The following is a 22,940-nucleotide window of genomic DNA, read 5'->3' as shown; positions in this document are numbered from 1 at the left end:
TTGGAGCAGAGTCCATATCTTCTGTAGAGCCCACTTTTGTTCTGGATTCTGCTTGAGACCAGTAGCCTGGGAAACTTCATTAATGAGTCAGAGCTATATTCTCAAATGTGGAATATGTTGTCTCCAAAATCCCAATAGGCCCCCAAAATACTGGGTCTCTTTTGTAGTGATAGGAAATTTATAGAGAGAGCAACATGCCATATACTGTAAAAAAGATTGTTTCAACGTGTGGTCTAGGGACACTGAATGCTTTAAAACATCACCTATGCTGTAGGTCCCTGAATCTTCTCAGGTTGATTTCTTTTCTTCTGGTATTTTACTTCCATTCATCGTTAGAGTATTTTACTATAGTTAAGAAACTTGCCACTTCCTGATTATTGTACCAAGTAATATATTATTATTATTATTGCTATTATTTTGAGACAGGGTCTCATTCTGTCCCTGAGGCTGGAGTTCAGTGGCAGGATCACAGCTCATTACAGCCTCAACCTTCTGGGCTCAAGTGATTCCCCCACCTCTGCATTGCTAGCAGCTGGGACTGCAGGGGCACAACATCACGCCTGGCTAATTTTTGTATTTTCTGTAGGGCTAGGATTTCACCGTGTTACCCAGGCTGGTCTCAAACTCCTGGGCTCAAATGATCTTCCCGTGTCGGCCTCCTAAAATGATGGCATTACAGTCATGTGCCACAGGGCCTGGTCTGTAATATTATTAATATATTAAATAATCACGATGTTTTAAAAAATGTAAATTAAACTGAGAACAGAAGTGACATAGCCATGATATAAAACAGTGACAGTGTTATTATTATTATAAAACGAGGCAAATTGTTTTGATTTTTCCTCATAATGGGTGTAGATTAAGAACCATTCACCAAATCACAAGCCCGGTAAAAAGTACCAGAAGCTCTGCTCTGCTTAGTGAAGACAGCACATCCTGGAAAGCATTTGTGAGTGTTTATTTAAGTTCATGGTAGTCTGCATTGATTCTGTAATCCATCTGGTTTTGGTAGAGGCCAGATAGGTTAAGTGAATCAGGTTATAGAAAGGACTACCATCCCCTGTAACTTGCAAGTGTTTTGTCATGGCAGTGACCAGTTCCATTCCTTAGGGAATGCGGTTATTATATTTTGTACATTGTGTTGCCAGTAGAGGAGAATTTCAGAGGCTTCCCTTTGGTCCTGCTATAATAATGTCCCTTACTCCACAGTTCACGAATAATGTGAGTGTCCTGCCAGCTGCCATGCATATCCATTTCAGTTACACTTTCAGGAAGAGGTAATAACTACAAACTGATTAGCTCCACCTTGGGATGGACATGAGCCAAAGCTCTAGGTAGCATCTGACCTTCAGAAACTCTCAATGCAGGCTGGATGTCATGGCTCATGCCTGTAGTCCTACTACTTTGGGAGGCCAAGGTGGGAGGACCCCTTGAGAGCAGGAGTTCCCTTTGCAACATATGGAAACTCCATCTCTACAAAAAATTTAAAAAATTAGCTGGCATGTTGGTGCATGCCTATAGTCCCAAATACTTGGGAAGCTGAGGCAGGAGGATTGCTTGAGCCCAGGAGTTCAAGGCTGCAGTGGGCTATGATTGTGCCACTGTACTCCAGCTTGGGTAACAGAGGGAGACTGTGTCTCAGAAGAAAAAAAAAAAACAAGTTTAACTTCTCACTGGTATCTTAAATATCAAGTAAAACAGTATCGAATCGATAATGAACAATCTTTGGTTCCTGCCTATAAGAGGTAAACTTGAAAGTAGTAATACAAATAGTATATTAACTCCTAACAAAATTAACCAAAGACAGTTGTATTTTCATCGCCCTTTGTTGGTGGTGGTGGTGTTTTTGAGATGGAGTTTGCACGGTCTCCCCACTGGAGTGGAGTGGCATGATCTCAACTAACTACAACCCCCCACTCCTGGGTTCCAATGATTTTTCTGCCACAGCCACCTGAGTAGCTGGGATTTTATGCATGTGCCACCACACCTGGCTACTTTTTGTATTTTTAGTGGAGACAGGGTTTCACCGTGTTGGCCATGCTGGTTTCAAACTCCTGACCTCAGGTGATGCACCTGCCTCAGCCTCCCAAAGTGCTGGGATTACAGGCCTGAGCCACCGCACCCGGCCTATCGTCTCCTTTTTATAGGTAATTATACTGAGGCAGGCAGTAGTTGTAAAATGGAGTCTCACATCATAGTTATATGAAGCAGGGAATCTGGTTTCCTGTCTTGGCAGTCTGACTTCAAGATCCCCTCTTAGAAACCATTATACTATAAAAACTGAAAAGAAATAAAATCCAAGATTGGAGACTGATTTTAACATCTATTTTAAACCATTTCATAATCAAAAATAAATTAAATAGGGAAAAATAAACCTGAATATTCATACACAGAGAAGTGTAGACTCTTCAATGGAACACGTTTTTTAAGTGTCCGAGGAATAGTTATAAAATTGCTGAATATTTTCATTAAATAACTAAGATTTAAGTATTAGACTCAAGAGAAAAACTTAGTCAAAGGCCTAAGCATGAGACATTAAGCTTGATAAACATTGAAAATGCGCTGAAAAGCCCAAGTAAGAAAATTAATTTTTCATTTTAGAAATTATAGGACAATAATTTACTCAACCATGAGGGGTGTGTGTGTGGGGGGGGGAATGTGTTTATGTTAATGAGCTTGTTAACAATAAGTTATACAAAACTATTAGTTAACAGCAACCAGATTTTAAGGAATATTGGCCTTCCTGGGCTTCCAAAGAAAACCTTGGATGCTTTTAGTAGGAAAATTTAGGATTCACTTTCCATAAACCTGGCATTGAAAAAATGAATCAACAGTGGTCATGACTCTAGTTTTGACCAAGCTACATATAACAGTGCAGGCATCCAATGTATGATCTATGTATTAGTTTGGAAAATTTCCCTAACAACCGACATTGCTGAACACAAATTATAGACAGGTTAAACAAGGAAAAAATTTCAAAATGATGAATAAGAATATGACTTGATTTGTATGCCTGGAATTGAGAATTCAGGTTTCACTTCAACATCAGTATGAGACATTTTATAACAAGGACATAGTATTTGAATATGAGTCAGTTTCAGCTGTTTTGGAAATTATCATATTTTCCGTTAAGTCAGCCCTGAACTCATTCAATAGCATGCCCCGGTGCTTTCCGTTTTGACATTAGTCAGAGAATTTAAAAGGAACCAGAACATTACTGCACAATCAGAAATCAGGTACACATAGAAATTAAGGTCAGGACCTTAAAGGGAATCTTGTCCATTAGGCCTTGATATTAGGCCTGCCTTAAAAAAATTCAGACATGGTATGTTTACTACTAACCATTTTTTTCCATAACAGTAATGGTAGAATTTGTATTTTCCCATGGGCACCTTCATTGTACTTAAAGACTATTTTGATATTTCAACATATTATTTTCTTTGAGTCCTTTTAAGGAGTTGTTAAACAATGCTGAAATTTGCCTTACAGTATGCTGTTAACAAATCATATTTCTCAAAGTCATTTGACATAATGATTGGTTAAAGGAAATATGTCTAGCATAATTATACTTGTTCATAACAAAACAGTATTTAAAACTTGAAGAAAAATATTAGGAAAAGTAATAAAGAATATGAATAAGGGTTGGGTGTCGTGGCTGATAGCTGTAATCCCAGCACTTCGGGAGGCCAAGGTGGGTGGATCACGAGGTCAGGACATCAAGACCATCCTGGCTAACACGGTGAAACCCTGTCTCTACAAAAAATACCAAGAAAAAAAAAATTAGCTGGGTGTGATGGCAGGCCCCTGTAATCCCAAGTATTCAGGAGGCTGATGCAGGAGAATGGCGTGATTCTGGGAGGCAGAGCTTGCAGTGAGCCAAGATCATGCCACTGCACTCCAGCCTGGGCAACAGAGCAAGACTCTGTCTCCAAAAAAGAAAAGAAAAGAAAAAAGAATATGAATAAATAAATAAATAAATAAATGAAATATGTAATTCATTATTAATAAATGTGCATGAAGTCATGGTCATGGAATTTAAAAAGAGTAACAATTTTTGAATTAAGAATACATTCTGAAACATAATAGAAAAAGGCTTATAAAATGTTAGGTTTAATAATGTTTCATATAAATATTAAAGGTAAAAATTATTCTGATGTTACTTATTTTGGAAAGCTTATGAAGTAATGGGAATTTTCATACACTGCTCCTAGAATTGTAAATCAGAGCAGTTAGTTTGTCTGAGTATGGCATTATCTGATTAAGATGATGGATCACATCTGAAGACCCAGTATTTGTATCCTTATCAGAATACATATAGACACACATGCATATCACTGAGTTTTAATAGCTAAGTTGAGAAGTCTATCAAATGTCCATCAGTGATTAAATGGATAAGTAAATTATGGCATACTTGTACAATAGTATACTATACAGCAATCAAAATGAACTGTTGGAAGCAAGTGCTCAGAGTAGACAAAAGAAACCAACACTTCGACAGAAAATTTCTCAGCAAGGCATCTTTACTTTGGCAGAAGGGTGCAGAAGGGTGCTGCTTGTGCCCGTTACAATCCCAAGAGCCCACGGAACAAAGGAGGGAAGGAGTTTTTAATCCTAACACAGTTCCTGTTTCTGTGTCCTTCTCCTGTTGGCTGGGGTTGGACCGTGCTATCTAAACTGATCCTGATTGGCTAAGACTTAAACTTTTCCAAATAGGGTAAATGCAGGATTTGCAAAAAGAAGGAGGGGTGTGAGGTAGGATTGATTTACAACATTTGCAACTGTTGGCCAGAAGGTTGAGTCTTTGAAGGGAACTTAATTGTCCCAGCAGAACCAACTAGAGCAACATGTTTACAAAGAACATAAATAAAAAGGAAAATGAACAAATTTGAACTTCATAGATATGAGAGGAATTATTAGGTTTGAAAAATGATTCAGTATAATTCCACTTATATAAAGTTTACAAAAATATATTTTTAATAAATTGAAATTTATTACACTGGTGGTGAAATTCTAAAGTGAGACATATGAATGATTATCATAACAATTGGGATGGTAGGGATGGAGGAAACAAAAGGGAAATGTTATCAACAAGAAGGCGTATATGGAGAGTGTCTGGATTGCTGGTGAATTCTACTTTATGACCATGATGTGGAATCATGACTCTTAATGCTATAAGTTTTTTCTTTACTGTACATTTAGACCTTATTACTTTATATATATATGTATGTTATGTTTCACAATAATAAAAATATTTAAAAAGTAGAAACATACACTAAATGAATGAATGTAAAATAGGCTGAAAAAACATATTCTTATAGACATCATTGTAATTAGAATTTTTGCTGAATAAAGAAGAATACAGCATTATGATAGTAAGAAATCCAAGAAAAATTTTAAACTTTTCTTTAATTTAAAAAAGGAAGAGGTAAGCAGGAAGTCTACCTCCACTTTCTTAATGTTATTCTTACCTTGAAACATCAGATTTTGAGCATCTGTATTTTGCTAGACACCTTTTTTCTTCTTTCCAATTTAATTATTTATGATAACATTTCAAAGTTGCAGAAAGTAGTGAATTTCCAATAAATTATAGTTATACAGACATTAAATATACATGACAATTTTTCTAAATTTATCCCTAAATAAAATAATTATACACATTTTTTACCATTCAAAGATTTTAATACCATGCATGTGTACACATGTGTGAAAAAATATTTTGATATTACAAATTTTTTGAATATTCAAGAAAAATTCATAGAAAGATAATTTTGTTAAGCCTTAAAACATATGTAGTGTAACTACTTTGACTGCTATAATAAAATCACCCAGATTTTGTGACCATAGCTGAGAATGAAATTAAGCAGTTGAGAGAATTTAACTTGTTAGTGATGCTATTAAAAGATGAAATGAAGCTTATACACTTCATAATTGCACAGAGTATTTGTGTAAGTTCATATGGAAGTGGAACAAAATTAAACAGCCAGAACAAGAGTATTCTTTGCTGGAGGTCACTTTTGGCATAATTTTTAGAATGCAATAGAAGAAAAAAATAGCAAGTAAATCACTGGAAATATGTTGGTTTTATGTTATTCTTGATGAAATGCTAGTTGAGGGTATTTGTCAAGGCCTGATTCTGAGAATAATATCGGAATTATGCTGGGCAAAGTGGCTCATGTCTGTAATCCCAGCACTCTAGGAGGCCAAGGCTGGCCGATCACCTGAGGTCAAGAGTTCCAGACCAGCCTGGCCAACATGATGAAACCCCATCTCTACAAAAAATAAAAAAAAATTGCTGGGTGTGGTTGCAGCCACCTGTAATCTCAGATACTTGGGAGGCTGAGGCAGGAGAATCGATTGAACCAGGGAGGCAGCTGTTGCCGTGAGCCAAGATTGTGCCATTGAACTCCAGACTGGGTGACAAGAGAGAATTTCCATCTCGAAAAAAAAAATTGTGTATCTATGAGGAAGAATAATAGTGTTCTCCCACCAACCTTAACTCTAATGCTTTTAAAAGAAAACCAAAATCACATTTATTAAATAACATTCTACCTTTTAGCTGACATCATCATTATCATCATCTACATTTACATCTGTCTTATTAAATGATTTATTTTTGAAATATTTACATACATAATTTGGTTAATGTCTGCATAATTTCTAAGAGATATCATTGTAGGAAAGTTATATTAGTAAACAGCAAAGTTCAAGTCAGGCTGAATACATTTAGATTTAGAAAGTTAAGTGTAGTGTAGTTTAAAATACAATGCTTAAGGAAACAATTATAAATTATATTAAACTAATCCATGTAACACTATGAAAAGATTTTGATTTTAGTATAAATAAAATTGCTTAATAGGAAAAATAAATAAACCATTTCATGATCAAGCTCTTATTTATAAAGTAAGGATGTTAGGGCTAAATAAATCAAAGAGAAGTAACCCCTCCCCCATATCTTCTCTATTTCACTTAGGTAATGATGAAATTTAAAGGCACAGAGCCCCATTTCTACAACATAAGCAAAATGAAAATTAATTCTTTGAATACAACAACGTAGCTGTGGTTGGTGAAATATATTTTATCTATTGCAATGATATTTTGAGAGGTAGTTCTGGTCATTGAGTTTGCCTGTTAGCAGAGTTTGTGGTGATGACCCAGCAACAGACAAGCTAATATCCAAAAAAAGCTACTCACATCAACTTAATTTCTAGTTTCTTTCAAATTGAAGGTAAATTCCAGAACAAAGCTTTTATTCTATTCTCTCAGCAAACTATTGGGAAATGAAGAAAACCACTACCATTTTCTTTTCTAACATACTAAAACAAAAAGCCAAAAACCCAAAACTCAAAAATGCTTTTAAAAAGAACATGGTGTTAAGAGTAGTTTGTTCAGTTTCTCCCTAGAAAATGATTTATGGAAGGAGAATAAAAGATTATTCTGAACACTAAAAGAATAAGACTGAAAAAAATGAATTATCAATATTGAGAATCCAATAGACAGAGTTAACCAGTTAGATGCAGTAGAAGAGAGAATAAGTGAATTAGAAGATAGCTACACAGAATGAAGCACAGAGAGAAAGAGATGGAAATATACAAAGCTAGAGGGTAACACATTGAGGCTACAGTCACAACACCTAACATACTTCTGGAGTTCTGTAACAGTAGAGGGGAGAAAATAGAGCAACAAAATGTTGCAAGGAGTTTTCCAAAAGTGATAAAATGTATGCCTCCATGTATTTTTTGTAATCTCAAACTTCAGGCATGATGACTTAAATCAAATTAACATAAAATAATACAGGACACAAAAGACCAATAGAAAATCTGAAAAGTAGCTAGAGGTTGAAGATAGAGTATGTTGAAAAGAACTGCATTCTGAATACAACCTGATTTTAACAGAAAATATGGAAGCAGGAATGCAATGGAATCATGGGAATCATGTCTTCAGTGTGTTTCCAAAGAGTAGTAGACCTTCAAAAACAGAAATTGAAAATGATATTTTTCAGATAAAATAAAATTACTGAAAATACAAAGTTGAACATGCAAGGAGCAATAAAAATTAATGACAATGAAAAATAAGTGTGTAATTCTAAATAAATGTTGACTGTATAAAATAGTGTCTTCCTGGATTGAATGTATAATCGATAAGATATATGCAAATAGCAATAAAGAGACTGGAGATAAAGGTGACAGAAATAAATTTAGTCAAACTATGTTTTTGGCTTTTTTATGTCTGTGAGGAGAATGTGAACGTTTATCAAGGACCCTGTAATTTCACACCCAGGTATATATATGCATAAGAATTGTAGCAAATGATATGTGAAAGAATGCTCATTGTAGCATTATTCATAATAGCTCAAAAACAAGCTGCCTAAATATATATCAAATAAGGATGGATAAATAATTACAGTAAAATCATAAAATGAAAAGTTATACAGAAGCGAAAAGAAGTGGATCACATGTACATGCAACTGTGGGGTTAAATTTCATATACATAATATTGATTCCAGGAAGCCATGAATAAGAACATATAGGATTGCACCTATAAACATTTCAAAGTGGGCCAAACCAAGCTATTGAGTTTAGGGTTGCATAGCTTGTTGGTAAAGTAAAAAGAAAATTTAAAAAAAGATGATCATAAATTATGGATGTTGCTTATCACAGGAGATATGAAGAAAGGTATAGGGGAAATGGAAAGTGGCATTGAGGTAAACCTAGGCTTTTAGCAATGTTCCATGTCTTGCCCTACATGAAGGTTACATGAGTGTTTATGACACATTGCTATGTTTTCCATTTTTGTTTTGGCTCATTTCTAAGTGTGCAGTCTAGTTATAATATAAAAATTATTAATCAGGAGAAAGATTCCATGAAAATTATTATTACTCTGCTCATTATATACCGAAGGGAAAAATTCACTATTTTTATACATTTATGTATAACTCTAAGCGATTTTAAGTAGAAACTTTCTGATTTTAGTTGCACCTTTCTGAAACTTGACATGATGTTACCTGCCAATCCCAGATTTTTCAATAGGTTTTTCTTTTAGGTTTAATTATCCACTTCATGTGACAAAACTTTGACATTCTCTGTCTATTTTTCCCTTGAATCCTGAATTCCTGACACAACAAGGGTGGACATGTTTCCCATACTCTTGGTTTAGCAGAGTGCCTTTATCACTTAGGTTTTTCTGCAAGAGAAAATCCTCCAAAACTGCTTTAGATATTTGTGTCTCATATGTCTTTGAATTTCATTTTTCTAAGCTAGATTTGGTGGATGGCTCTGGTGACTGGAGACGGGCCATGTACTGCATCTTGAAGCTAGTTTGGCTGATTTAGTGTAGATAAGGCAGTGGCATTCTGACTCCATTAGTTTCTCATTCTTCTTATGGGAACAGTTATTGGCCAGATGATGTCCTCACGGTAAATGGAAAAGAGCAAGAAACTCCAGTATGGAAGCCGTCTTAAATCTCTGCGTAAAGTCTACTAGTTTGCTGTTCACTGAAGCAAATTACATGAGTGAATTCAGAGTCAATGGTCAAGGTAGTCACCCTGCCTGTGGTGGGAGGGTGCTGCAGGATTATATGAAAAAGTGTAGGGCACTTCGAAATATTTACAAAATTGCTGAATATTTTAATTACATAATTAATATTTAAACAAAAAACAGACTTGAGACTAAATTTATCAATGGCCTAAGCATGAGAAACATGTTTGATAAATATTATTCATTGTCTGACAACCCTGAGTGGAATACGAGTAATTCCACCTGGATGACCTCCTGGAAACTCATTTTCCATTTGGGGAATTATAAGAAAATAATTCCTTCCATCCCCTAAAGGTGTGAGTGCATGTGTGTCTATGTGTTTAGGAGCTTATTAACAATGATGTCATATCAATTTATTGGTTATCAGAAACCAGATTTTCAGGTGTATCGGCCTCCCAGGGCTTTCCAAGATAACCTTGGATGATTCTGATAAAAGGTTTAGAATCTGGTATTTAAATCTGGCATAAAAATAAATCCATATTGGTGTGATCCTAGTTATGACCAAGCTCCTTTAACAATTTAGACATTTACTGTATGATATATGTATTTGGTTTTAAAATTTCCCTAAGAAACAACTGAAGATGCTGGATTCAAATTATGGAGAGGTTAAACAAGGAAAAAAATTGCAAAACAATGACAAAGAATATGGCTTTATTTGCATACTAACACATGAAAATTCACTTTTCACTTCAACATGAGTATAAAAAAATTCAGCATGTAGCAGGGACAGATAGTATATGAAGAGGAGTGAATCTGAGCTGTTTTGAGAATAACAATATTTTCTATTTCTATGAAGACAGCTTTGAACTCATCCATTAGCATAGGCTGGTGCTTTCCTGTTGACATTAGTCACAGAATTTAAAGGCAGAAAATGTTATTGCACATTTAGTAATCAAGTGTTTATCGAAGTTAATGTTTGGATATTAAGGGTATCAGAACCAGTGTTATTAAGACTGCAATTTTTTTCTTTTTGTCTGTTCAAACATGGTATATTTTCTGCTCATCATTTTATCAATTCTGGTAGTGTTTGCATTTGTTCTTGGAAATTTTTCCAATGGCTTCATAGCTCTAGTAAATGTCATTGACTGGGTTAAGACACGAAAGATCTCCTCAGCTGACCAAATCCTCACTGCTCTGGTGGTCTCCAGAATTGGTTTACTCTGGGTCATATTATTACATTGGTATGCAAATGTGTTTAATTCAGCTTTATATAGTTCAGAAGTAGGAGCTGTTGCTTCTAATATCTCAGCAATAATCAACCATTTCAGCATCTGGCTTGCTGCTAGCCTCAGCATATTTTATTTGCTCAAGATTGCCAATTTCTCCAACCTTATTTTTCTCCACCTAAAGAAGAGAATTAGGAGTGTTGTTCTGGTGATACTGTTGGGTCCCTTGGTATTTTTGATTTGTAATCTTGCTGTGATAACCATGGATGACAGTGTGTGGACAAAAGAATATGAAGGAAATGTGACTTGGAAGATCAAATTGAGGAATGCAATACACCTTTCAAACTTGACTGTAAGCACACTAGCAAACCTCATACCCTTCATTCTGACCCTAATATGTTTTCTGCTGTTAATCTGTTCTCTGCATAAACATCTCAAGAAGATGCAGCTCCATGGCAAAGGATCTCAAGATCTCAGCACCAAGGTCCACATAAAAGCTTTGCAAACTGTGATCTCCTTCCTCATGTTATATGCCATTTACTTTCTGTATCTAATCACATTAACCTGGAATCTTTGAACACAGCAGAACAAACTTGTATTCCTGCTTTGCCAAACTCTTGGAATCATGTATCCTTCATTCCACTCATTCTTCCTGATTATGGGAAGCAGGAAACTAAAACAGACGTTTCTTTCAGTTTTATGTCAGGTCACATGCTTAGTGAAAGGACAGCAACCCTCAACTCCATAGATTCACAAGGGGTGCATCGTGTGTCTTCTAGCAGAAAACAAACTGATGATGTCTTGAACATTTTATATTTCTATCAGTTTTTCCATAGTGTATGTATTTGAGTAATTTCAGAATAGATATCTATAAAAGTCTTACATATATATATGGTTGTATATGTGTGCATGTGTATAAATAACAACATTGACCATAAACTATGAAGCTGAGTATATTTCACATATACAATGTATGTATATTTTCTTATAGTTCATTGTATAATATTTCATTTGAAGATTTTATTTTCTCTTTTTAAAATTAGGATCTTACAGCTTTTATCAGGAAATTATTGCTGTTTTCCATTGCAATTTGTATCACATATATGTACTTAACTATCATTGGTGAACCCCTAATTGTTTGGATGGTAAAGAAGTTTAATATTAAATCAATGATGAGAATGTATCTTTGGGGTAGGTTTTATTTCATTAGGAATTCTTATTTTACGTTTGGTAGAAAGCAAATAGAATTGTTAGCTAATGATGCACACAATAAAATTTTAGTGACAAAGATATGTAGAGTAAGTTTTATTTATATATACCAAAAACAGTACTAAAGAATACTAAATTTAATACAAGTATGTGCATAGCCTAGAATAAAAATCATTTCTATAATAGGAATGAAAAAACATGATCATGATCCTTTCAGTGCTGTTATAATTTTTTATGTGTAGTTAGAAAAGTCACTTATTCCACTTTTTGAATTAAAGGAAACCTTTTGTGAAGTTGACATCTGATGTCAAGTATTTCCATTTATTTTCTTAGCCACCTCTGAGCTCCTGAATTTCCAATTTTCTCCTTTGTCTCCCATTCCTAATATTCCTCAAAAAAACTCAAATATTCTCTATCTTAAAAAAAGTCCCAAAGAGAGTATAGAAACTATAGATGATAATCAAATGAAACTTTCTTCAAATGTTAAATGTTAAACTTTCGTTAAATGTTAAAAATTATCTGTGAAATCTATATATTGATGATAGGAAATGTATTAATGATATGTTTTATTATAATGGTGTAAATGGTGAAATGACACAAAGTGTGTTGATGTATCCATTGATACCAAGTTCTATTATAAGAAGGAAATGTACAGCCTTGCTGAACAGCTAAATTCTGCATGACTGTGTTAATTCTTGGTGTTATGAGATTTTAACATTGTTATGTAAAACTTAAAATAAGTCAACTCCTCATCTGATATATATATATATATTACATCCACATATATATGTATCAGATCCACATCTGATATATATATACACACACATTTTATTTATCATGCATCTTCCCTAGTACAATGTAATCACCATAAAAAGAGAGGTCATATCTGTCTTGCTTTGTCTGGACTCACGGGATCTAAAAGCCAGCACAAAGAATAGTTGGTCAAAAATGATACGTTAATGAACACATTAGTGGTTGGATAAATGGATAATTTGATGTGGTAAACCAGTGAAAACGAAACTCTTGACAAAATCTGCAGTTGCTTGAATTTTCTAGTTTCAGGTTGAGGTTATAGGCTTATCAAAGAAGAAGCATTTCTCAGAGCAAAAGTTTGGCTATTCCCCAATTCTAGGGGAAGTATCACTGTAATATAGCTTTGATGCAGCTATATCAGGTGTGTGAAGTAGAGACAAGGTGGAATGTCAAAATTAGATGGCACTTATTGTAATACTTTTTGAAAAGCATATAAAGGATTCTGGTATATTTGCACAGGGCCAGGTTCAGCTGTGAGTGCCAGCTGCTCGGGGTTAGCAGACCCCATCACAAGAATGTTAGGGAACTTCCCAGCAGCTGCCAAACACACTCTTGTTTTTAGGGAACATCTCTTTCTCCCTCAGTATGACTTATGCTGCCTTCAATGCTTTGCTGATACAAAAGAAGTGAACACAAAAGAAATGAAAAAAAAAAAAAGCTAGCAAACTTTGCAACTGGTTAAGCTGTTTGTAAATGTACCCAATCACTTTCTACTGTGAATGATATATTTGTATTATGATATTTTCTAGCTGGTTACTATATACACAAAGATGGCATTTCGCTTTTAAAAATTGAGTTAGTAACGAGTCACCTTTCTTACACATTATTTATATATATATTTTAGTATCCTTTCTAAATGAATGTTTTAATTGCCATATTATAAATGCATGGAAAAGTGATGCAACTGAATGTATATCTTAGCTTTGGGTGTCTAGAACTAGAGCCAGTGTCTGAGTTTACAGTGATGACATTTATTTGGGAAGGCAAGTCCAGGGTAGCAATGAGGGGTAAATGTGGAAACTGAGGCAAAAGAAGATGTAAAACCATGTATCATGATGTTGACATGACTTTGCCGTTGTCACTTCACAATGAGGTGAGACAGACAGCATGGTGATCATCAGATACATGCACTTGGCTCCCGGTACTTTTCCAGAAGGGTTACAAGGGGAAACCACAGCAAATATTAGTCCATGGAAGAGAGAAAAGGGAGAATGTATCCTAGCTGTCTTTTGTTTTCTATTTACCTTTGGCCAAAGTTATTTTGTGGCAGAACTACCATCTTTGCTTTTCTTCCTTACATTATCCAACCCCTTGGTGGCTGTTTGGGAAAGTCAGACTAACCAATACCCCCATTTTTCTAAGAGATACTTGTTTTGTTTTTTTTTTAATTTTTTGTCTCTTTTCCTCGCCCCTTTCCCTATGTTTCCCACTTTCTACTTAACTTTTTAGAAATGCACAAAACTGTTTACTATCCCCTCACCAGACAGTCCCTTCGGGCAAGTTCATCTAACTATGTGCTCCAAGAGGGATCTCTCCTTGAGACTTGACAGTTGATTTGCAGACAAAAGTATGCCCTCATGGAACTCTCACCTCCAGCGGTTCCCCTTAGACCTCACACCCATTAGGAGGGGATGTGGAGAGGATGCTCAGGTGGCCACTTTTACAACTGCTGTCCTGCTCATTTCCCTCCCTACTTTATAAAAATGTCCACTTTCTGCTCCAAAGGTGAAGTGTCACATTAGAAGGCAGGATGCTTTATGCTCCTTCCCCAAAACTAATCTCCAAATAAGTTCTCTATTTTTGTATCAGACTGTGCTCTTTTTAATTAGACTTTACATGAAGTGAGCAACTAAGCTTTTCTGTTACAAGACTTCATGCCCACAGATACATTCAAGTCCCAGATGGAAAGGTGATCTGGATCAGGCAAGGTGCTGACCATGGGAACAGGAGAGAGTCAAGGGAATCTGAGGAAGCACATGTTTGTGTCCAATATAGTCCCCTCCTTGTGCCACTCAGATGTGCTCATGCCCTCCAACTGTGGCTGGTTTTATAAGCAGATGCCTTGTGTAGTTGCACGCAGTCTTGTGCTTGAGGGGCTTTTTGCTTGGATTAATGTTCTGCACTTGCATTTTTATTTTTCAGACAGCAGATACTCCTCCGCTGAAGAGGGAATAGTTCTGCAGTAATTCCCTAGGGGTTTGCTTTCTCCTCTCCTACGGGCTTGATGGAGACAGGCACAGAGTCCTATAATGCCCACGATGCATGCCTCTAGCAGCTTTGAATTCTGCTGGATCATCTGACTCAATGGGCAGAGCAGGTTGGGCCACAGCCTATACCTGCTGTAGAGATATCTTATGTTCTGGATTCCACTTGAAACCACTAGTCTTTGCATTCATTCTGTAACCCATCTGGTTTTGGCAGAGGCTAGGTAGGTTAACTGAACAGGGATTTAAAAAGGACTTTATTAACAAGTCAGAGCAATATCCTCTATTGTGGTATTTGTGGACTCCAAAACCCCAAGAGAGTCAATAAACACTGTGCTTCTCTTTTAGTGATAAGAAGTATTTATAGGGCAACAGGCCACTTACTTTAAAAAGGATGTTTCTGCTGGGCATGGTGGCTCACCCCTGTAATCCCAGCACTTTGGGAGGCCAAGGTGGGCAGATCACTTGAGGCCATGAGTTTGAGACCAGCCTGGCTAACATGGTGAAACCAGGTCTCTACTTTAAAAAAAAAAAAAATTGCCAGGCATGGTAGCACATGGCTGTAAATACAGCTAGTAAGGAGGCTGAAGGATTTGAACTGATTGAACCCAGGAGGCGAAGTTTGCAGTGAGCCGAGATGGCACCAGTGCACTCTAGCCTGGGCAACAGAGCAAGACTCTGTCTCAAAAATAAATATATAAATAAATAAATGGATTTTTCGACATGTAGACCAGGAATATGAGACCTTAAAAACAATATCTATGTTGCAGGTTTCCAAATATTATCAGGTGTATCTCTTTCTGCTAGTATTTTATTTCTATTTAACGTTCAAGTATTTTACTATATTTAGGGACCTTTCCATTTCCTGGTTATTGCACCAATTACTGTAACATTATTAATAAATTAACATGATGTTTTGCAAAATGTAAATTAAACTGAGAGCAGAAGTGACATCGCCCTGACATAAAACAGTGAAGCAGCACTTTCGTTCTTACCAAACAAAGGCCAACTGTTTTAATCTCCCGACCCACCCGTGGGTGAAAAACAAGAAATATTCACTTAATCGAGAGCCACATGCAAAGTGCCAGAAGCTCTGCTCTGCTCAGGGAAGATACCACATCCTAGAGAGCATTTGTAAGTAGTGATTTAAATTTATGGAACTCTGCCCTCATTTTATAATGTATCTGATTTTGGTAGAGGCCATTTAGGTTAAGTGGAGAGGGATGTAAAAAGACTACCATCCCCTGTAACTTTCAAGTGTTTTGTCATGGTAGTGATCAATTCCATTCCTTGGAGAATGTGATTATTATTTTTCAATCCTTGTTGCCAGTGGAGGAGAATTTCGCAGGCTTCGCCTTGGTCCTGCTCTAATAGTGTCCCTTACTCTGCAGGTCAGGAAGAAGGTGAGAGTCCTGCCAGCTGCCATGTTTGTCCATTTCAATTACATGTTCAGGAAGAGGTAATAACAGCAAACTGATTAGATCCACCTTGGGATGTACATGAGTCAAAAATCTAGGTAGCATCTGACCTTCAAAAACTCCCAGTGCAGGCTTGGTATGATGGCTCTTGCTTGCAATCCCGGAACTTTGGTAGGCACAGTTGGGAATATCTATTGAGGCCAGGAGTTCCAGACCACCCTGGGCTACATGGTGAGAGCTTGTCTCTACAAAAACTAAAAAAAGAAAAAACAACAACAAAAATTAGTTTGGCATGGTGGTGCTCACCTGTAGTCCCAGTTACACAGAAGGATGAGGCAGGATACTCCCTTGAACCTGAAAACAATATGCGAGTCAGTTGCTGGTGGCATCCAGAATCCAGTTAAAAAGAGTGAGGCCTGGTTCAAAAGTAATGAATTTATTTCAAACCTAGCTTGGGGAAGGGGCACAAAGAGTCCTGCCTTTAAGTGTACCACTTCACCTTTGGAGCAGAAAGCAGACACTTTTATAAGGTAAGGGGGGTTATTGAGCAAGGGTAGAGGGTCCTCCTGCAAGCTTGGTGCCTTTTCTACCATGCAGGGGTCTGTCCAGCAGACCCTGACTCAATGACAGAGGAATAACATACACCGACATGTATGTTTTGCTTGTCAGTCCAGCCGAGCATCCGGGCCACTTAACAGACTCTAAGGAAGAGTGCTGTCAGCTGCCGCCCCAACTTGCTGGCCTTCTTGGCATTTATTTAGAACACATTAAATGACAAAAACTTTGAGTCAACACCATTAGAGGGTAATCAACTCTGTCACCTTCCCCCAGGAGAGCAATCCTGCCTGTGAGTGATGAAAGGTTAGCTTTAGGACTACCTGAGTAAACAAGCTCTTTAGATAAACTACTCTACATTCCTTTGTGTCTGTGCCCAAAGTGCTCTGGCTCTGGCAAAGAGACTGGCTGCCTTCAGCCAAACTATCTGAAGTTATGCAAAAACTTTTGGTCTTCCAAGAAGGTCTTTTTTTTATTTTATAATTTTCCCTACCATTCTGACTGAACCCCTGCACTACCAGATAGTTGAATTGGCACCTGCCTTTGCAGAAATACATTATAAAAGTGGCCAAGTAGGTATGCTTTCCATATGCCCTCCTGTTGGATGAAAGTCCTTAGGTAATTCCTAGAGTGGAGCAGAGCCTGGAATTTCCTGGTCCACTTCCTGGAGGTAAAAATTCTGTGGTGGGTGTGTTTGGTCTGCAAATTGACTGTCAGTTCTCAGGAGAGATTGGTCTCGGAGCACATAGTTAGAAAAATGTGCCCTGCAGGGAATGTCTAGTGAGTGGGGGTGAAAGGTTCTATTTGCATTTATGAATGGCTAAGCAGGATACAGGGAACAAAGGGAAAGGGGAGAGAAGAGAAAATAATAATAAAAATCATAATTCATTCTCTTTTTCTTAGAAAAAAATGGGGCAATCTGTTACAAACCCTGGAATTCAAGGCTGTAGTGAGTAATGATCATGCCACTGTACTAGATACAGCCTGGGTGACAGATTGAGACTGTCTCTCTGAAAAAGCCAACGCAAATAACACAGAAAACAAAAGAAAATTAAAAAGAAAATCTCCTACTCCATCTCATGGACCACAGTGTCTTTTGGGTACCTAGATAATTAGTGTTAGTTCAGGCTCTGCTGGGGTGGCCAATATCTGGTTTACTGGTGGCAATTTCATACGAGTCTGCAGCAACGTCAAGTCTTGCCTCCCCAGAGGAAGGAATTCAACTGAGGGGCATAAGTAAGAAGAGACTGAAGGAAGTTTCTGAGCAGGAATGGAAGTTTATTAAAAAGAGAGCAGGAAAGAAAGGAAGAGACTTTATTGGAAGTCTCTTGGAAGACACTTGGAAGAGACCACAGCGGGCACTTTGGAGATCAAGTGCAGTGTTAGATCTTTGACTTGTGGTTTTATATGTTGGTATACTTCTGGGGTCTTGTGTTCCTTTTCCCATGATTCAGCCCCTTAGGGTGGGCTGCTCACATGTGTGGTAGCCTGCTAACACTTTGGAGGTGAGCATGCGCAGTGTGTTTACTGGAGTTGTACACATGCTTGCCTGAGGCATTCTTCCCTTTTTTGGTGGAATGCCCACAGAAGGTCATATTCCACCATTTTCTCTCTTAACACGCATGCCTTAGCCTACTCACCCTATTCCTGAGCTGCTGACTACCAATTTTAAGCGTTTTTATTTATTGTGAAATTGCCTCTCCCTGGCGCCTGTGACCAATTATTATTTTTAGAGAGGCAGGGTGTCAACTGCCAGGGCATCAGCTGATGGCCACCTGACATTCCTTGTGGGTGGTGGGAGCCCTCTTCTGCCCCACTCATGCCTGACTAACTACGTACTGTAAAAGCCCTATACCTAAAAGTCTCAGATGGTATGGATGTGTGTCCTTTCCTCTGGGTACTGTTTATCTAGGAAATGGCTGCAGGTCTTTGAGAAAGCATCATATAAATACATTCTGAATATTCTGTGGTGAATTTTCAGCATCTGTTATCAAGGGGACTTAAGCTTCCCTTCAATTATTGAATTCTTGTTCTTGGAATTGGCTCAGTCCTGACAACTGGTTGAGGTTTCTTGATTTTCCACTTCAAAGGCCGACCTCAGGAATGAGCTTTTCAGCTCCATTTTGCTCTTGGTTTATAAGTATTTATCAAAGTGTGAAGCCTCTTCAACTATTGGCTTATGAACTCATTCCAATGAAGCTACTGCTGTCATCGTTTCATTGATTCTGACGTTTCCAAGATCACCAGAGTCTATGTTGCCAAGGTTAGTCTTCATGTTGCATGCTCTATTAGCCACATTGAACGTAGTTTATTTGCATTTCAGGATGATGCCCTTTCCTGATTTTATCTTTGTTCACTGGGCACCACTCCACTTCTCATTCTCCTTTGCTAGTTGTCTTTTGTCTCTAAACTGAAAACATGAGATTGCCCAAGATCTCAATTCTACAATCTCTGCAATGATGCCTGTTGTGTTGGTGATCTCATGTATTCTCCTTACTGACAATGTAGCCAAATCAGTTAACAGACAAGCGTAAGGGTGATTATCCATTTATATTAATTATTTATTCACACATCTTGGCATATAGCACATTATGTAAATATTTTTCCTTCAAATGTCAAATTTACATTTAGAAGTAACAGTACCAGGTTGGATGCTGTGGCTCAAGCCTGTAATTGAGCACCTTGGGAGGTTTAGGTAGACAGATTTCTTGAGCACAATTATTGGAGACCAACCTAGGAAACATGGTGAAACCCAGTCTCTAGCAAAAATATGACAATTAGCTAGGTGAGGTGGTGTCCACCTGCAGTCCTAGCTACCTGGGAGGCTAAGGTGGGAGGATAGCTTGAGGCTGGGAGCTGTAGAGAGCAGTGGAGAGCAGTGAGCCAATCCGAAACCACTGCACTCCAGTTGGGGCTACAGAGTGAGACCATGTCTCAAAAAATGAAAAATAGAAGTAATAATACCAAAAATCTAAGGGAAAAGATGGAGTATTAATAATATTTTTGCTTGAATTTCCACTAAATCAGAGTGAGGGTGACCCACCATCTAATTTAGTTTTATTTAAAATAGCATTATACATATTGATAGATTACTATGCAGGGGATTATTATTATTATAGAAATAATGATCTAAGTAGAGAAATATACAGATGGAATTATGGTTGATTAACCCACTTATATTACTTGCAGTTGTACAGGTAGTATGTTTTAGTATCTTAGTTACTAATCTCACCTTTTACGTATAGCTCTATAATCAAATATGAGTTATTTTTTGTGTATGGTATGAAATAAGAATATAAATTTATCTTTATGCATGTCCTCCAAATGTCTTTCAGACCTCCAAATGGATAAACAAATTGTGGCATACTTATACAATGGAATACTATACAGTGATCAAAATTAATGAACTAGACAGACATGTTTACAACAGAATAATACAACAAAGAAAATGAACAAATTTGAGCTACATAGATAATAATACTCACAAATGTGAGAGGAATTATCAAGATGGAAAAATACATTCAGTATAATCTCATTTACATAAAGTTCAAGAAAAATATTTTTAATATATTGTAATTTGTTACATTGGTGATAAAACTCTACAGTGAAACATATGAGTGATCATCATAACAATTGGGATAATCAGGAGGGAGGAGATAAACGGGAAATATCAGCAAGAAGACATATATTGGGAGTGTCTGGATTACTGGCAAATTCTATTTTCTGACCAAGGTGTGGTAACATCGATGTTAATGTTATAATTTTTTCTCTTACTGTTTATTAGGTTTTATTATGCTCCATATGTAAGTTATGCTCCCCAATAAAAAAAAAAAGTTAAAAAAGCAGAAACATAAAATACATTCCTACATATAAAATTAGGGTGATACAGCATATTCTTATAGATACCATTGTTATTAGAGTATTTGCTGAATAAAGGAGAATAGAGCATTATGGTACTAAGAAATCCAAGTTAAAATTTAAAATTTTTCTTATTGTTTTGAGACAGGGTCTCTCTCTGTTGCCCAGGCTGGAGTGCACAAGCAGAATCTTGGCTCAGTGCAACCTCTGCTATCCAGGCTCAAGTAATTCTCCCATCTCAGCTTCCAGAGTAGCTAGGACAACAGGCGTGCACCACCACGCCCTGCTAATTTTTTCTGTTTTTGGTAGAGACAGGGTTTTGGCATGTTTCCCAGGCTGGACTTGAACTCCTGTGCTCAGGCAATCCAACTGCCTCAGCCTTCCAAAATGCTGGGATTACAGATGTGAGCCACTAGACCTGCCCTGAAACTTTTCTTAAATTAATATTTTTTTAAAAAGAAGACATAAGCAAGAACTGTAAATCCACCTTCTTAATGCTAATATGAATTTGAAACATCAAAACTTGAATATTTATGACAGCTAAACACCTTTTTTCTTATTTCCAATTTAATTATTTATAATACACATGTCAAAGTGTCACAAAGTCATGAATTTCCAATAAATTATAGTATGATGGAGGTTAAATATATAGACCTATTATCCCAAAATGTGTCTCTAAATGAAATATTTGTATTCATATTGTTAGCATTCTAATTTCACAATACTAATCATGTGTACACCTGTGTGTTGGGTAAAATATTTTGTTAATATAAATTTTTTGATTCTGCATTGGAGAAAAAAATCATAGAAAGGCAAATTTGTTAAGGTATAAAACATATTTAGCATGATCTTTGAGCATGTTTGTGCATATATAATGCTACTTTCACTGCTATAGTAAAATGATCCAGATTTAGTCACCATAGCTAAGAATGTGAAAAAGGCTTGCAAGAATTTGGCTTGCTAATGATGCTATTAAAAGATGAAATGAAGTTGATATACTGTATTATTGCAGAGAGTATTTTTCTATATTCATATTGAAAAATGCCCAAAAAGCCCCAAAATAGAATCCTAATTATTGGATGTCACTTTTGCTATGAATTTTTAAAATGTAGTAAAAGAAAAAGAAGCAAAGAAATTCTTGAAAATATGTTGGTTTTACATTATTCTTGATGAACTACCACATGAGGATACTTCTCTAGGCCTGATGCTGAGAATCATAGAAGAAACATGAGGCCATGAGGAAGAATAGTAGGGTTCTCTCACTACCCTGAACTCCAGTACTTAAAAAACAAGATGGAAATCACATTTATCAAATAGCATTCTCCCTTTTACCTGCCATAATTATTATCATCATCATCTATATATACATCTATCTCATTAAATGATATATTTTTGAAATATTTAAATACATAATTTGGAAAATAAGTAATTTTTAAAAGACCATCATTGTGGGAAAGTTACAGGAGTAAACAGCAAAGCTTAGTCATGCTCAATACATGTAGATTTAGAAATTAAGTATAGCTTATTTTACAATATATTGCTTAAGCAAATAATTATTTATAGATGAGCTTAAACTAATCTTTGTTTCATTATGATCACTATAGAAACAATTTAGATTTTAGTGTAACTAAAACTAACCAGTAAGAAGGACAAAGCAAATGATACATTTTATGAGCTAGCTTTTATTTCTAAGAGAGGATTTTAGGACCAAATAGTCAAACAGAGTTAAGACCTCAGATCTTCTGTCACACTTGTGTGAGTGATGGTGGAGTTCGAAAGTTATAGTTCTATAAACAAAACTATACTCACGGATAGGGATTAAATGGTGGAATTCTTTAGAAACACCAGATTCAGTTTTGTTTCCATGAGACTTAAAGTTCTTCAATCTTTCATAAACTTGTATGTACTGTTTTACTCTTTGATCTTTTAAAGATTGTTATAAATGAAGAAGTCTTGATTTCTGCTAATAAAAACAGAGTAAAATTTAAATCATGGAATAGAAAGGTGGAGCTGTGGTTGAGATATTATATTTTATTAATTGTAATGACATTTTGAGATCCAGTGCTGCTCACTGAATTTCCCTGTGAGGAGAGTTTGTGGTGATGACCCAGCAACAGACAAGCTACTATCCAAAAAAAGCTACTCACATCAAATCAATTTCCAGTTTCTTCCAAGTTGCAGGAG

At 36.4% G+C, this 22,940-nt stretch overlaps 2 protein-coding genes, 1 long non-coding RNA gene and 1 pseudogene across 5 annotated transcripts in view, besides 2 other annotated features; all 4 read left to right on the top strand.

Moving 5' to 3' along the window:
• Positions 1 to 22,940, top strand: part of PRH1-PRR4 (PRH1-PRR4 readthrough) — a 325,777-nt gene that overhangs the window by 82,866 nt on the left and 219,971 nt on the right. The window lies entirely within an intron of this gene.
• Positions 1 to 22,940, top strand: part of PRH1 (proline rich protein HaeIII subfamily 1) — a 290,647-nt gene that overhangs the window by 82,852 nt on the left and 184,855 nt on the right. The gene's annotated exons all lie outside the window — the stretch shown is intronic.
• Positions 1 to 22,940, top strand: part of PRH1-TAS2R14 (PRH1-TAS2R14 readthrough) — a 234,202-nt gene that overhangs the window by 82,852 nt on the left and 128,410 nt on the right. The gene's annotated exons all lie outside the window — the stretch shown is intronic.
• On the top strand, positions 10,466 to 11,468 carry TAS2R64P (taste 2 receptor member 64, pseudogene; annotated as a pseudogene).
• Positions 16,815 to 17,509: an enhancer, noted in NCBI's record as "OCT4-NANOG hESC enhancer chr12:11223850-11224544 (GRCh37/hg19 assembly coordinates)". NCBI's record gives its function as "activates a minimal SCP1, AML or CMV promoter by ChIP-STARR-seq in naive H9 embryonic stem cells {active_cell/tissue: H9 hESC(naive)}" and the evidence as "EXISTENCE:reporter gene assay evidence [ECO:0000049][PMID:30033119]".
• Positions 20,943 to 21,143: a silencer, noted in NCBI's record as "peak1573 fragment used in MPRA reporter construct". NCBI's record gives its function as "represses an SCP1 promoter by STARR-seq MPRAs in K562 erythroleukemia cells {active_cell/tissue: K562}" and the evidence as "EXISTENCE:reporter gene assay evidence [ECO:0000049][PMID:32103011]".

This window comes from Homo sapiens, chromosome 12 (assembly GCF_000001405.40).
Source record: "Homo sapiens chromosome 12, GRCh38.p14 Primary Assembly".
NCBI classification, from domain to species: domain Eukaryota; kingdom Metazoa; phylum Chordata; class Mammalia; order Primates; family Hominidae; genus Homo; species Homo sapiens.
This window is presented reverse-complemented; position numbering and strand designations above follow the sequence as displayed.